This window comes from Homo sapiens, chromosome 8 (assembly GCF_000001405.40).
Source record: "Homo sapiens chromosome 8, GRCh38.p14 Primary Assembly".
NCBI classification, from domain to species: domain Eukaryota; kingdom Metazoa; phylum Chordata; class Mammalia; order Primates; family Hominidae; genus Homo; species Homo sapiens.
Genome location: NC_000008.11, coordinates 129,839,371 through 129,856,453, shown reverse-complemented (window position 1 = coordinate 129,856,453; position 17,083 = coordinate 129,839,371). Strand labels below are relative to the sequence as shown.

General features: G+C 37.8%; 1 protein-coding gene across 84 annotated transcripts in view; it reads left to right on the top strand.

Annotated features, from left to right (window-relative positions):
* CYRIB (CYFIP related Rac1 interactor B) overlaps nt 1–16,861 on the top strand; it is a 177,537-nt gene extending 160,676 nt beyond the window's left edge. For all 84 annotated transcript variants that reach the window (NM_001353269.1, NM_001353270.1, NM_001353245.1 and 81 more), the window contains 7 exons: nt 707–843; nt 2,111–2,188; nt 4,176–4,292; nt 5,540–5,619; nt 7,085–7,211; nt 9,580–9,650; nt 14,249–16,861. In NM_001353269.1, the coding sequence (NP_001340198.1) occupies nt 2,111–2,188; nt 4,176–4,292; nt 5,540–5,619; nt 7,085–7,211; nt 9,580–9,650; nt 14,249–14,312 (537 nt within the window). In that variant the 5' untranslated portion in view covers nt 707–843 and the 3' untranslated portion in view covers nt 14,313–16,861. The remainder of the gene's footprint in view (nt 1–706; nt 844–2,110; nt 2,189–4,175; nt 4,293–5,539; nt 5,620–7,084; nt 7,212–9,579; nt 9,651–14,248) is intronic.
* Nucleotides 16,862–17,083: the final 222 nt, after the last annotated feature.

Genomic DNA, 17,083 nt, shown 5'->3' with positions numbered 1-17,083 from the left:
AATATTAGTATTTAGTATTTAATATTAGTATTAGTATTTAGTATTTCCATTATCAAACATGGTATTTATTAGCCTGGCATCCCAAAAGTAGCACTTATTTCAAAGGGACCATTTTGCTCACATAATGAATTAGAATATTTATATTGTAGTCTTGAAATGTCAAGTTCTAAGACAAGAAGCTTATTGAACCACATATTTTGTTCTCTTTAGTAGCTGAAAGCAAACAGTTTGTGGTTATAAATAAAGGATGTATTCAAAGTATGAGAAATTGGTAATTGATTCATAGGCATATACAGACAGTGTGGACACAGTGCCATTGAAGAAAGTTACTCAGCTGTAGATAATAGTTACCATTTCATAAAACCAAATTCCACACTGTGTGAAGTGATTAAAGTAATATAAAACTTGCCCTTTGGTGTTGAATTCAAATTCACTTCTGCACTATTTTCAATCTGGGTTTACAGAATTATAAACCCTTGAATTAGTCCGTTTAAGGTTTTTATTCTGTTAAATAGTATTCAGAATGTGTGTAGTACATTAGCAATGGCAACATTTAAACTTCTTAATTAGTTTTATTATGTTTAGATCATCTGTTTTTTAAAGAGAACTTTTCTGGGAATTAACATTTATGAATTGTTCACTTTTTAATAAACAAATATCACACAGATACAAACAACTTAATGTTTTTTTCAATTTTTTTCTTTAGAAGCAGCATTAAGAGGTCTTCTGGGAGCCTTAACAAGTACCCCATATTCTCCCACCCAGCATCTAGAGCGAGAGCAGGCTCTTGCTAAACAGTTTGCAGAAATTCTTCATTTCACACTCCGGTTTGATGAACTCAAGGTAGAATTATCTATTGGCCCTGATTGTTACGAAAATCATGAATCTTTTAATGAGTACTAGGAGGAAGAGCCGGGAAACATTGTTAAAATGTATTTAAATGATGTCTGCTAGACCTTAATAAAAATGCAAAGCTGGATTTAGAAATTAATGACGGGTCTTTTGATACATGGCAAAGAGCAAATTACTGAGTATTCGGTCTCAATCTTTTTTTTTTTTTTTTGAGGCAGAGCCTTGCTTTGTCACTCAGGGTAGAGTGCAGTGGCGTGATCTCAGCTCACTGCAACCTCTCCCTCCTGGGCTCAAGTGATTCTCCCACCTCAACCTCCCAAGTAGCTGGGATTACAGGCATGTGCCACCACGCCTGGCTAATTTTTGTATTTTTAGTAGAGACGGGGTTTCACCATGTTGGCCAGGCTGATCTCGAACTCCTGACCTCAGGTGATCCACATGTCTCAGCAGTCTTCATTTAACCTTGTTTAAAAATTAATCTCCGAAACAAAAGGTTGAGCTTTTTTTCTAATACTTTTTCTTTTCTGCTCACACCCTCTACCCCCGTTTTTCAACATTCTTTTATATTAAAATGTTGCTAAAATTTCTTTTTTCTCCCTTCCTCCTTTCCCGCTTTCTTCCTTTCTTTCTGTTTCTTTTTTCCTCTGTCATTGTTTATAGTGTTTGGAACTATAAATACCTTGTTGTTAAAAAGAATGAATGTAAAGGAATAAGCACTAGGTCTCATATCAAGAGACCTGAGTTCCAGTTTATACTCTGCCACAGTAACCCTAGTCATGAGACGTTGGGCACGTCCTTTGATTTTTCAGGGCCTCTGGTACCCTGTCTAGAAAATGGAAGAGCTGGATTCCAAACTTCAGCATTTTATAGTTGTATCACAGTCAGATTTGTATGTAAAATTCTAGTTTGAGGATTGCTCTGTTGACCATACCTACATACTTTTATCGTAATAACTAAAAACAAGTGCCTAAACAGTCCTTTTTGTTTTTGTTTATTTGATAAACAAGCTTTTAGTACATTACCTGAAATTAACTGAAAAGAAAAGGGAAAGTATACTGCCTGTGGTCTTTCGTTTTATATGTTCAGTAAGGACTAAATACAGTTATAAGCCACCTTGGATTATACCAGTGCTAGTTCTTAAAATGATACTATGAATTATGGAATGTTTTATACTAATTAAAACTAAAGATTTTTTACTTAGTTTTTTTACATTAGCATTTAGTACATAACATTTTTTTTCCACAACTGTCTTCTTCAGATGACAAATCCTGCCATACAGAATGATTTCAGCTATTATAGAAGAACATTGAGTCGTATGAGGATTAACAATGTACCGGTAAGTTAATGCTTTGAATTAGGGGGATGGTAAGAGTAACTTAGTGCTCAGCCTGTTCATTTTATTATTTTGTTTGTTCATTCAGATAGTGTTAAAGCTAGTAATAAAGTTAGTAATTATGGGCAGCCATAGCTGTAGGAGGAAAAGCAAACTGTAACAAACCATATGGTGTTTACCTGTTTTTCTTCACAGTCTCTTAAATTCCCACAACTACTTCAACAAAATTGCTTATCTGTATAACGTTGATCCTTATAAAATTTCGCGATGTACTCTCATTTTAACTGTACAGAAATTCTGTGAATTCATAGTTACGAGTTTTTTGTCTCTATATTCTTAGAATGGAAGAGTCTTGGAGAGAAATTGACGTGGGTTAATTTCTTGGAGAGAAATCTTGAACCCAAGTCCGTTTTCCTCCAAGAAATTAATGGTTAATGCTGGCAAGAGGTGATAGTGAGGTCATGGCCTGTTAACACATCTGTGCCTGATATAGCTGTTTGAGAAAATGGCTTTGTGCCTGCTCCTTGGCTAGTATAGCATTTCTTCTGGCTTCTTTAGGTCTCTTAACTTCTTACCATCCTCCTCTTAAGCTGTTTATTACTCTTTTCTACCTCCAAGGAACTAAATACCATAAGTAAAACTAGAGCGGAAGAAAATATTAACTTGTTCTCTGTGTTTCTGAGAACCTTATAATTGGTCTGAAAAATTTCAAAGATCAACCCTTGTTTCAAATAGATAGTTTAATAGAGAAATACTGTAACTATGTAAGGAGTAATAAGTGGCATAAGATATTTAAAATATATATATCAAAGACTATCATTCATTTTCTTTTTCCTTGAAAAAATATTTTAGGAAGCACTTGCACTAAGGCACTGAGTTGGAGGAAAAGATTCCTCTTTATGAAACATCTGTAATTTGCATCAATTTGATTTTTGCATAGACCAGTTCCTCGTGTGAGACTGACCTTAACATCTGTCTTTTTCATACCTACCATGTAAAATAAGATAAAAGCAAAAAGCAAAGCAGCCAATCCTATACTATACCCATCCTTGCCATCACTTAAGGCTAAAGACATTAGTCATCTTGGTTCTCCCTTTTACCCTCAATAATTACAGGTAAAATCCAATTTTTTTCAAGTGAAATATCTCTGAAATGTCTTCTCCATCCCCCTTTCCATCTCCTCCTCCCACTGTTCCAACAGAGAGCCTAATTCCCACTCTTTCTGGCAGTCACTCTGCACAGCATAACTCATTTTCGGACCTACAAGTCTTTTTCCATTTTGGTACAATCTGCCCACGATTATCAGTTAATTTTCTTTAGGAAACTGACTTAGTTGTCATTCCTTTCATCTAACACACTGAATGGCTCCCCATTCCACATGGAAGAAAAATATGAACTTAAGCTAGCATTTATGGCACTATACAGTCTGACCCCAACCTGTATCTTTCGTTGGTTGCAGCCCCTTATTACACTGAATATGCTGAATTACTCTTTAGGGAGTCATTTGAAAACATACTCTTTCCCCTGCCAGATTGGAATACCTTGTTTACCTGCCCAATATGACCTGCAAAAGGATAACTCTTCTCCTTAGTTTCTTCTGTTCCAACTTAATGTTCTCTGACTCCCTTTTTGTGTTATCACCTGTTAGAATCTTACCATGGATGTTGTATGGATACTTATTGTTCATAATGGAGGACGGTACAATTTTATAATCATTTTTCTGTCCTCCATAACATTTAGAATCTCTTGTATGTAGTAGACAGTTCATCAAGGTTTTATTTAAATTCTTTAATATCATTTAAAATATTTTTGAAGAGGTTAATCTTTTTTTAAAAAAAATAACTTTTTTTTAAAAAGAATATTTGAGTATTATCGATACATGAGAGTCTAAAATGTAATTGAGGCAGGCACCCTGCCTGGGTCCTTGTATAATTGTTATTATATGTAATAATTTGTGAACTAACATCCAGTGCTTTTACCTTCCCCACAGGCAGAAGGAGAAAATGAAGTAAATAATGAATTGGCAAATCGAATGTCTTTGTTTTATGCTGAGGCAACTCCAATGCTGAAAACCTTGAGTGATGCCACAACAAAATTTGTATCAGAGGTAAGCATTGCCTAGGCAGGTACTCTGTGTTGTTATTTATGCCCCTGTTGGCAGACGTGATGTCAGCAAGCCCAAGACATTAAATACCATCTTGAAACCAACAGACTCCCAGATGTATGTGTTGAGTCCTGACTTTTTTCTGAGGCCCACATGTGCACACCTGTCCACGTATTTGCAGTTTCTCTGGAGGGATGGTGGAAACCTCAGTGATAGCTGATGGCATGGCCAAACCAAACTCTGGGTTGCGTTTTCTAACCCTGCCCTTTCTTTAGTTTTTGCTTTCTCAATTAACAGTACCAGTGCAGGCAAAAACTTACAACTTATGTCATCCTAAATTCCTTTCTTTTTTTTTTGAGACAGAGTTTCACTCTTGTTGCCCAGGCTGGAGTGCAATGGCGTGATCTCAGCTCACCACAAACTCCGCCTCCCGGGTTCAAGCGATTCTCCTGCCTCAGCCTCCCTAGTAGCTGGGGTTACAGGCATGTGCCACCACGCCCGGCTAATTTTGTATTTTTAGTAGAGATGGGGTTTCTGCATGTTGGTCAGGCTGGTCTCGAACTCCCGACCTCAGGTGATCCGCCTGCCTCCGCCTCCCAAAGTGCTGGAATTATAGGCATGAGCCACCGCGCCTGGCCATCATCCTAAATTCCTTTCTATACCTCACTCCCTACATGTATTCCATCAAACAGTCTCATTGGCTTTCCCTCCAAAATACTAATATATCATGATTCTGAAAACTTAAGTTGCTTTCTTGCCACCAGCCACATCAGACTTCTCATCTGGATTACTGCATTCGTGTCCTGACCATTCTTACTTCCTCCACTCTTGCCCCAATATAGTCCTTTCTCCATAGAGCAACCAAGTAATCTTAAAACATAAACCATGTTCCCTCCCTCCTCCATGTAAAATGTTCCCAGTGACTTCCTAGTACCCTTAGGATAAAATCCAACTATTTCATAGCCTATAAAACTCTACACCTTTGACCCCCTGTCTGCATTGTTGCAGTTGTTCTTACATTGCTGGAATGCAGGTGCCTTTCAGAAGAGTCCTGCCTTCGCTGTCTTGCTCATAGCTGTATCCCCAGTGCTTGGAACAGTTGCTTAGAGTCTAGTGCATTATTTAGAAAATTAGGAGTAGGAACCAGGTTTTAAAGTTGCTAATTTTTCATATTACGCTAAATTTTAAATTGTGCTTAAGTAATAACGTTTGTTACTTTTACTTTTTTTGTTCTTCATATACTTCTACAGAATAAAAATTTACCAATAGAAAATACCACAGATTGTTTAAGCACAATGGCTAGTGTATGCAGAGTCATGCTGGAAACACCGTGAGTATCAGCTGATCTTTTTCACTTTAACAGTGCTGTTGAGATGACTGATATTTCAAAACATGTTCATATATGAACATGTTAACATGTTTTATCTGGAAGGTGGAAAGTAAGTATATTCCAAATATTGAATGTTAATATATGAACAAACTTAAAATAATTTGGCTATTTAACGTAACTTCTGGTTAAGTATAAAATAGAGTTAGTTGGTCTTCAGGTACCTCAGACCACTCAGACTGACTCAGACTCTTAGTTCTCTTCTCAGAACAGAAGTGGTGGTGGTGTTTTGGTGGCTGGGATGTAGGAGAAGAACTTTAAAGTTCCTTGGTTATACTTACCATAAATGTTCTTTTTCCATATTTAGTAAAGAATCTTACCCTTTTGCCAAAGGGCTGGAATTATTCTTCTGTTTATCCCTTTTTCTCTCAATAATTAATTGTCACTCTTTTCTTTTTTTTTTCCAACACGAACCTGAATTCTGTTTTTTTTTCTCTCCTCTCTAAACATTTATGATGTATGATACAGTGTGTCCTGGCTGGATTTTTCCTGTTAGCAGGCAGAAAGAATCCCTCCTGGATTCCAGAATAATAAATACAGTCATGTGCTGCTTAATGACGTTTTGGTCAACAATGGGCCACATATATGATGGTCCAAAGCACTATACTGTACATCATCTCATTGGAAAACCTTATGAAATAGGAGGGCAACTATCATCATAATCATCTTCCTTCCCCCCACCACCAACTTCAGGGAGTGAGGTCCTGGGAAATGAAGGGACACTATCCATGTGCTTGGATGTCTCTATCCTGGTTCCGTACTCTTTCCGCTATGATATACTGCCTTCTATATATAGATAAAAGTTCAATTTTCTTTTTCACAAATGAGAGGAGAATATGATTGAGTTTTAGTAAAATTGATATCCAGTAATACTATAATGTATTTAGATCAAGTTAGCACCTAAATAGCAAACCTGCTTGCTCTATTAAGCTAGTGATTTTTCACTATAGGTGCTAACAACCATTACGTAGCATCTATTCTCTAAAATTGTTGCTATCGGTCTAGCAGAGGAGCAGTGCACTAATGTGGGTGCAGATATTATAGAAACCAGAATACATGGGTGATGACTGTTCCACTCACCATCTTCTCATATCTCTGGGGATCTCATTGTGGAGTAAGGGGCATAATGTTAGTATACCTTTTAGAGATCAAAGGGGCAAGTCAGCATCAGCTGAAAGTTGAATCACCTCATTAAAGAATTTTATATCCCTTTCAGGGGGTTGATTTGGAAAGGAAAACAGACATAAGATTTGAATGTATCAGTGTGGCTACTTGTGAACATACTGCATTCAACTAATGGATAGAAATTTGAATAAAATATTTCAGAAGAGGTTTTTCTTGTGTGTGTGTGTTTTTAAAAAGAATTTTGTAATGCACTTCTTCCATGCATATCTTATCTACTCTTCAGGGAATACAGAAGCAGATTTACAAATGAAGAGACAGTGTCATTCTGCTTGAGGGTAATGGTGGGTGTCATAATACTCTATGACCACGTACATCCAGTGGGAGCATTTGCTAAAACTTCCAAAATTGATGTAAGTTATTGTTTTATATAAATAATTTCAAACGAGTTTCTCCATGGAAACCATAGGATTTTATTTTATGATAAGAGCCAGCAAACCGGACTCTCACAAAACTCAGATTTATAGTTTGTGAAATGGTGGACTTTCATCTCCTCTGTCCCTGTGCTGTTTTTCTTGTGGCCTGTATTCAGGTGGAATAGAATGATCAAAGGATGACTATATTGTCTAGTGAGTACCTCCTGGAAGGCTTCTACTACGTATTTGGCAATATAAATAGATAATTAGATATAAGGAATTTTGAGTCATATCCTTTAATTCCTTTGGCCAAAGGCCATTTCAAATAAAATGTTTATTTCAGAATGCATATAAAAAGTCAGTAGTGCTGCTGGGCGTGCTGGCTCATGCCTGTAGCCCAAGCACTTTGGCAGGCTGAAGCAGGAGGATCACTTGAGCCCAGGAGTAGAAGACCAGCCTGGGCAGCATAGTGAGACCCCCATTTCTACAAAAAAAAAAAAAAAATTAGCCAGGTGTGGTGGCACACATCGGTAGTCACAGCTACGTTGAGAGGCTGAAGTGGGAGGATCCCTTGAGCCCAGGAGTTCCAGCCTGCAGTGAGCCACGATCACACCACTGCATTCAGTCTGGGTGAGAGAGAGACCCTGTCTTGAAATTAAAAAGACAGCCAGTAGGATGCTCCAGTGGAAAAAGATGAAGACTTTATGTATTTTCCCTCCCCTACCTAGTCATAATAATTTGTGACTATAGTTGGCTCTCGACTTTTCTTCTCTCTGTAAAAGTTTGTATTAGAAATAGTTTTCTAATTTCTCTACTTCGTAGTTTCTTTCCCCAACCTCTCACATCTAGTTCATTAGTGTTTGGTGAGAATTGTCTTCCCGTTTCCCTTTCATAGCTAGTTTAGGCTCTTAGCATTTCGGATCTCGATTACTGATTACTAGCCAAGCTTGTTGCCTTCATGTACACCTGTCATATGTAAAGAGAAATGAGTTAATATTTACTGTATGGTTGCCATGTCCCAGGAATTTTACGTTTGTTCTCCCTTGTGACTCTGAAAATACTCTTTTAGGTGTCATCTCCCTTTACTGACAGGGCAACTAAAGTTTAGCAGATCAAGTAATAGAATTGCTAGTAGGCCGGGTGCAGTGGTTTATGCCTGTAATCCCAGCACTTTGGCAGGCCGAGGCAGGCGGATCACCTAAGGTTAGGAGTTCAAGACCAGCCTGGCCAACATGGTGAAACCTCATCTCTACTGAAAAAAAATACAAAAATTAGCTGGGTGTGGTGGCACACATCTGTAGTCCCAGCTACTCGGGAGGCTGAGGTGGGAGAATCGCTTAAATCCAGGAGGCAGAGGTTGCAGTGAACCAAGATTGCGCCACTACACTCCAGCCTGGGTGACAGAGCGAGACTCCATCTCAAAAATAAAAAGAGTTGCTAGAAAAGGTAGAACCCACATTTCTCTGGCTTCCAAAGCCTGTGTTCTTTCTGCTGTATTATGCTTTTTTATAACAACCAGGCTAATATATCTTAAATACCATCGTCATCAAGTGGTTACCTTTTAAAATAACCTGTGAGTCCCCTGCTGCCAGGCATAACACTTCGTATAACTCATCCTGGCTTTCAGCCTCTCATAACTCCAGGTGCAGTGCTGAAAAATTCCTATCTGTCCTCTGTGTGATACTTTACTCTGTGAGGTTTCTCTACCTGAAAGTTCTTCTTTTCCTTAGTAACATACTCATTCTGTCCTTTATTTTTTATTTTATTTTATTTTTTGTGACGGAGTCTCGCTCTGTCACCCAGGCTGGAGTGCAGTAGTGCGATCTCGGCTCACTGCAAGCTCTGCCTCCTGGGTTCACGCCATTCTCCTGCCTCAGCCTCCCGAGTAGCTGGGACTACAGGCGCCCACCACCACGCCTGGCTAATTTTTTTGTATTTTTAGTAGAGACGGGGTTTTACCGTGTTAGGCAGGATGGTCTCGAACTCCTGACCTTGTGATCCGCCCGCCTCAGCCTCCCAAAGTGTTGGAATTACAGGCCTGAGCCACCCTGCCCAGCCCATTCTGTCCTTTAAATCGCCACTCAGCACCTTTTCCAGAAGTCTTCCCTTAGCAAACCGTTTGTTTTTCATTGCATGTGTGGTATATTAGTTTGACTGATTTTGTTCTCAAAAAGATTTTGTTTTCACTAAGTGAGAATAATAACTCTTAGGTTGGGTTTTTTTCTGTTCTAAGAATAATTAATTTGACATAGTATGTAATCTCTTGAGTTCCATAGTTATGGTCTTGATTTATTTTACTATTTTGAAAAGGAATGTTACATGAAAAAAATGGCTGTTTTACCTTTTCTGTTTTCTTTTTCTTTAGATGAAAGGTTGTATCAAAGTTCTTAAGGACCAACCTCCTAATAGTGTGGAAGGTCTTCTAAATGCTCTCAGGTGTGTATATGTACGTGTACGTATGTACAGAAAAAATCTGTAAGGAAAATGGTCGATGTTTATGTAAAGAAAATGCATTAAGTGTGAATAGGATATAAAAATAAGTGTTCAAGCTAGAAATATGAAGATCTTATTTTGTTTATTGATAATCTTGCTTCCAAACACTGGTTACGGTATTTTATGATGAGGAATGTGTGGGACACATGACAATAGCAGCTTCATTTTCTGGTTGAAGATTTTGGCTTTTACTTGTTGCTTCTCTTCAAACAGAGATTGCTTGTTTTTGTAATAAAAGTATTATATACCAGTTATAAATAAAATTCAGAAAACATAAGAAAATGTAAATAAAAAGAAATAATGTAATCTCACCATTTTGAGATAAGCCACTATTAGCATATAGCCTTCCAGAGTTTTTTCTTTACATATATAGATAATAGCTCTATGTAGTAGTTATCTTTTTACAAAATAATATCTTACAAAGTGGCTTGTAACTAGCTCTTTCCTCTTAATAGAATGTAATTACATTTGTGCTCAGACTTGTGTTCTGTTATTTTTATGTATTTCCTACAATAAAAATTAAGTAGTCATTATTTAATGTCTTTTCTTAGATTAGTTTTACTTAATTTAGTTGCTCAAACTTCTACAAATGCTAGAACATTATTTCGTTATTTAGAGTTGGAATCTCGCTCTGTCACCCAGGCTAGAGTACAGTGGCACAATCTTGGCTTATTGGAACCTCGGCCTCCCAGGTTCAAGTGCTTCTCCTGCCTCAGCCTCCCGAGTAGCTGGGATCACAGGCATGTGCCTGTATTTTGTATTTTTAGTAAAGACAGCGTTTCACCATGTTGGCCAGGCTGGTCTCAAACTCCTGACCTCAAGTGATCCACCCACCTTGGCCTCCCAGAGTGCTGAGATTACAGCATGAGCCACTGTGCCCAGCTGCTAGAACATTTTTAAATGAAAATCTCGATACTTTATAACATTTGACTACAGAGATTTAATTGGTAGTATTCACATGACATAAAAGATGATGTCCCATTACTTGATTTTTTGAGGGTTTAAACACAAAAATTACATGAACACAGAAATATTTATATAATGATATTTACCACATAAAATGTAGGCTGTATCATTTCAGCTAAGCGGAACTGTCAAATGATTTTATTAAGATTATGAAAAAATGTTTAAAAATAGTTTTTAAAAGATTATGAAAAGTGTTGCATAAGCGGTAGCTGCCTGAATAAAGGTGATCTATTCTAAATGAACATCAGCAAGATTAAGGAACATAATTTAAAATCCTTATAATGTCAAACTATTTTAACCATAAGCCTAGTTTTTAGAATTCTGTATTCTTGGGGTTTTTACAACGCATACTTCAGTGGTTTTGCCAATATTTAATGATATCATGAGTCTTTCCTCCTTGGTTTCTTTCTGAATACTCCCTGTGTCTCAGTCAACCTGATTTTTCTCCCAAGACTTTGTCTTTCTGATTGGTCAGGCTCTTTGAAGCCAGCAAGTGGCAGGAAATCTTTTTTAAAAACTTGAAGGTAATTGAGATCTAGGAGGTTTTAGGATTCTTTCTTGAGCTTGAAGGTAGTATGCCTAACTCAGAATCTACGTTTCACTTTAAGGGTAGTTCAGTTTCCTTTTCCTTAGAATGAAAGCAGAGGAGACCAGTGATGGCGAGTGAAAGACAGGGTTGAAGTCTCCCACAAAGTAATCTGTGTTTGAGGGAGAGGGGAGGGAAGGAAAGCACCACGGAGGCAAGAGTCACCTGTCAGTTTGGTACATTTTCTTTCCTATTATAATAGATAATGGAAACTAGAAAATAAAATGTTGCTTTTAGAAACAACAAAATCAGGTCTGACTTGGGACTCAGGCACTTTCCTTTTAAACAAACACCCTAGCTGATGTAGATAATGCTGATACTTTGAAAAATATTTCTTAAAGGAAATCCATCTAGCCTTTAATATGTTTTACTGAGAGCACATGTTTAGAAAGCATTTTGTAACCCCAAAAGTACTACACGAGTGTTACACACCTCCACAAAATAGAACTTAAAGACCAAAAGATTTTAAATGAGAGAATAGTTCCATATGTATGTATATGTTTGTTTTGAATGCTTTCCTGTAGTAATTATTTATATAGAACTTCCTGTGCTACTAAGAGAAGGCATCAAGTCATATGTCCATTTTACAGGTGGAAAAATGGAACCAAATACATTTAATCATAAGAGGGAAAGAAAAAAAGAGAGCTGGGAGTTCAGATTCAGTAGTAGATAATTGTCTTCTTTATTAAATTTAAGAGTAAAGGTAAATAATAATTGGTTTTCTTTAGTAAAACAGTCGCACTTGGAAAAAAAATTTGTTTTTGTGCACAAAGGAAAATAATGCCATATATCTTCATGTTTTATTTTCACGTATATTAGATAATATTGGCCTTTTCTTGATAAGTGAGTGTGGTGATGCAGTGTGCTCTGGATTGGCTTTGTCCAAAGAAGGAAGCCAAGATCACATCCCACAGAAGGAGCGAGAACTTGCGTCATGGGTAGAGAGGAAAACACTTAGCACTCTTTGAATAGTACAGTACATTGCTGAGTAGTGATACTTTTAACTACTCTGCAGTAGAAATTTTACTGTGCACATTGCTTGGCTCTTTCTACTATTTAGTTGTATAAAGAAGTGGAGGAGAAACAAATGAAGAATTTTGAGAACTACGAGACATCTGTAGGATTTCGTGTAATTGCGTATACTTTATCTACATAAAGAGAACAAAAAGGTTAAATCCTTGTGACATCACTTAGCATTTAATGTCAATATTCCTTTATGGATTTTTTTTTCTTTCCAACCTGGCTGCTTATCTTGTCTTCCTTCCGCAAGTATTTATTGAGCACCATTTATGTGCCAGGCACGCTGATACCTATTCAAAAACATGAGAACAGTTTGGGAGTGACTTCTCAGTAACATTGTAGACAGTATATCAGGTACTTAATAAGCATTCTTCGGTTTTTAAATTAATTTGAAATGAACCTAATAGGAATTGGGTTTAAATTTCTTAAACACAGAAAGATCTATGTGGACCTGCTGAAAAGGATGTAGTCCTAGCTGGGCATGGTGACACACACCTGTCATCCCAGCTACTTGTGAGCCCAAGGCAGGAGGATTGCTTGAGCCCAGGAATTGAAGGCCAACCGGGGTAATATAGCCAGACCTTATCTCTAGAAAAAACGATCTAGTCCTTAAGATTATATGTGGAATTCTTGTGAACCAGATTTCTCTGTCTGGGTTATCTCCAAAATACAGTCCACATTCACGCATTGAACACCTGTCTCCATTGCTGCTGTAATCTGGCCCAAGCCTTGACATCTGATTATCTCACACTTGGTGCTCAGTAACAGCCCCCTTATTTAATGCCTCCCTGCTGCTCCTTCTGTTCTCCACAGCTTGCCCTCAACAGCCAGAATGATAAAACTTAAGTGGCAGCACACCCCTCTCCTGCTTAATATGCTCCACTGGCTTTTACTGCACTTAAAATAATCTCCAAACTCCTTACTATGTATGGCCTCTGGGTGTCCATGGGAGATGGTGTTTCCCTGTCTCTGTATGTAGCCTCTTCTTGTTATACTTCTCTCCTTTGCTGCTAGGCTTTACCCTGTCACTAATATTAGTGTATCATTATCTTTCTCCGTCTGCTAGGTTGTAAGCTCCTTGAACAGTGCCTGAGACATAGTAAGCTTGCTTAGTGGATTTTTACTGTTTAAGGGAATACTGTTGTGAATCTTTATAATAATCACTCTTTGTGATTCTTTTTTGGATTCTTATGTTGGATTTGCATGCATGTAGCAAAACACATGCCTAGAAATAAGGCACTTGGGAGAATTGAGACATTTTAGAGATATAACAGCTGTAGTAATTGAGGCATCTTAAATACAGAATAGAAAAGGGGTTGAAACACTTTTCTGTAAAGAGCCAGAGAGTAAGTAGATATTAAAGGCCTTGTGGGCCACATGGTTTCTGTTACAGCTCCTCACCTCTGCCACCATAACAAGAAAGTAACCATAGATGATACATGAATGAGTCAACTTGGTGTGTTTCAGTAAAACTTTTATATGTAAGCACTGAAATTTGAATTTCATAGAATTTCCACAATAACACATGAAATATTACTATTTCTTTTTTTGTCTTCCTTTGCCCCCCAGTCATCCAAAAGGTTAAAAAATAGAATTAGCTCACAGTCCACAAAAAAATTGGTGGATTGGATGGCCCATGGGCTATAATTTGCCAGCCTCTGGGATAGAACAGCATTTTCTTCTGAGGGAGAAGTTACAGCTAATTGTTTACTTGAGAGGTCAACCAATCATTTCAGCAGTGTAGTTGTAACTAAGTTAAATAGCTGCTAAATAGCTACTGGCTATTCAGTTAGAAAGGGGGTGAGGATGACAGGCTGTGCAGAACCTGAACAGGGTTAAAGCTACAATGAGAAGCCATAATTTTGTGAGTTTTGCTGAGACCAATTCTCCATCCTGTCATAATTAGAGAACCCGATGCTGATTATTTTTTAAGTTCCTAAAATTGATCTTTTTTCTTTTCTTTTTTTAGGTACACAACAAAACATTTGAATGATGAGACTACCTCCAAGCAAATTAAATCCATGCTGCAATAACAATTCTGGAATAAGCACCTGCTGTAGACAGAAGACAGTATTCTGCAATGACTGAGAATGCAGTTTTTTAGTGATTGCAATTACTATCTCATTTATTCTTGCTTTTATTTCTTTCCTCTGTTCCTCTTCCCTCTTTTTTAATCATGTTCTTAAGACTTCTTTTCTGTGCCAAAATCAGTAAAGTTACACTCTGAAGGGATATCATCCTTTCAAACGGGCCATCTAAGGCAGCTAATTATGCATTGCATTGGGGTCTCTACTGAGAAAAATTCTGTGACTTGAACTAAATATTTTTAAATGTGGATTTTTTTTGAAACTAATATTTAATATTGCTTCTCCTGCATGGCAAAACTGCCTATTCTGCTATTTAAAAACCCTCAATGACTTTATTTTCTACTGCCGCCTTTTTCATGTGCAACCAAAATGAAAATGTTTAAATTAACTGTGTTGTACAAATGGTACCCAACACAAACTTTTTTTAAATTAGTAATACTTTTGTTTAAAGTTTTAAGTTTGCATTTTGACTTTTTTTGTAAGGATGTATGTTGTGTGTTTAACCTTTATTAACTAACGTTAAAAGCTGTGATGTGTGCGTAGAATATTACGTATGCATGTTCATGTCTAAAGAATGGCTGTTGATGATAAAATAAAAATCAGCTTTCATTTTTCTAAGTGTGGCTTGGTTTACTGATGTTTTGTTTTTAGGCTTCTGAAGTTTTCCCCATGTATGTTTTTATGGAATGCATATATACATTACATGATTTTTTCTTCTTTTAGGGGAGAGCCGGGTCTTTTCATTAGAATTTTGATCATTGTCTATGTATATACTTTTAATTGCCTTTAAAATTTTGCTAAGTATATTAAGACCAGTGATCTTTTCATTAACTGGACTTTTATTCTTGATTTACTCTTGTATGGATGTAGTAATGGAAGGAAAACCGCATCCTTGCTTGATTCTCCATTTCCAGGGGAGCGGGTAGCAACATGAAGGCAGAGTAGCCCTTTAATCATGGGAAGAGAGTGATTATAAGAGGGACTTCCCAGGAGAAAAGCAGAGGCCATGATCTCACTAGTGGTAGAAAACTAACAGGTTTCAGTTTAAGATCATAAAACCTAAATCATGAAATCTAAATCTCATGGTTGGAACAAACTACTTAAAGGTTGTCTAGTTCAACCATGCCAGTGTTTTAAATATTTAGGAATATCCGAGGTATAATACAATTAAAATGTTTAACCATGGAAGAGAATCACAGAGGCTTCCATCAGACCCTTCTGGATTAATAGGGCCAGATCATGGCACACACAGCTTCTCAAGATCACATCCCTGCTGATCTCTCTGGCCCTCCTGATCACTGCTCCCCCACTTCACACCCTGTCCTGCAGCCAGGCCCTACTGCTTGCTGTTCACAAATTGTTCCATGTGATGTCACTTCCTTAGCTCTGGTCTGGCTGGTCCCTGAACCTGACATTCCCTTCCTCCCCTTGTGACCCTCTAATGAACGCCAACTTTCATCTTTGAAGGGTTAGCTTCTATTACCTCCTTCATGAAGCCTTCTGGATAACATTGGCCATATCCTTCTAGGCATCTTCTAAGAATAGTGTAATAGGCTGAATAGTGGCCCCCAGGAGATACATTCACTGGGAATCTCCACGTGTGACATTATTTGGAAAAAGTTTTTGCAGATGAAATCAAGGACCTGGAAATGAGATCAACCTGTAGTAGGGTGGGCCCTAAATTCAATGACTAGCTCTTAGAAAAGAAGGGGAAATAGACACACAGAGCTGAAGGCCATGGGAAGATGGAGGCAGAGATTAGAGCAATGCATCTATGAGCCAAAGAACCCTAAGAATTGGAGGAAGTCACTAGAAGCTAGGAAAACAGGCATGTCACAGATTCTCCCTCAGAGTCTCGAGAAGGAACCAACCCTACCAATATCTTGATTTCAGACATCTGGCCTCCAGGATTGTGAGGGAATAAATTTCTGTTGTTTTAAGCCATGCAGTTTGTGGTATTTTGGTACAGCAGCCTTAAGAATCTGATACATGTATCTCGTAAAACACCTCTGATACTTACCTGCGCTTGTGGCTGTGTTTTCTGATACTATGAGAGCCGTAGTATCTGGATACCGGAGAGTCTGCGAACTTGAGAGAAGGGCCGTGTCTGATTTTCCTTCAGTGTCCCAAGGAAGGATCTTGCACAGTACCCAGATTTGGAGAGGTGCCAAGTGAATGCTTCGGTGGACTGAATGAATACAAATCAAAAATAATGATGCAGCGGGAATGGATGCAGTAAGATTGCTGTGGCCTATGCAGTTCACACAGTTCACACTCTGCATGTTGAGGAGTAAGTGGACAGATCTCTTAAGCCCAGGGGCTAGCAAACCGGTCTGTGGGCCAATTTACTCACCGTCTGTTTTTGTACAGCTTGTGAGCTAAAAATGGTTTTTAAAAAGGTTGAATACAATCAAAAGAATAATATTTTGTGGCATGAGAAAAGCATATGAAATTCAAATTTTAGTGTTCATAAATAAAATTTTATTGGAACCTAAGCCTCACTCATTTGTTGACACATTATTTATCGAGACTTTTGCATGACAGCAGCAGAATTGAGTTGTGACAAAGACCATATGGCCCTCAAAAGCTAAAATATATTTACTATCTGGCCCTTTCCAGAAAGAATTTTCCTCTCCTTCCACTAGATCCAAGAGTAGGTTTATCTGAGAACCTAGTGTGATTGAAGCTGAGGGCTGCAGTGTGATCAAAGGAGACAG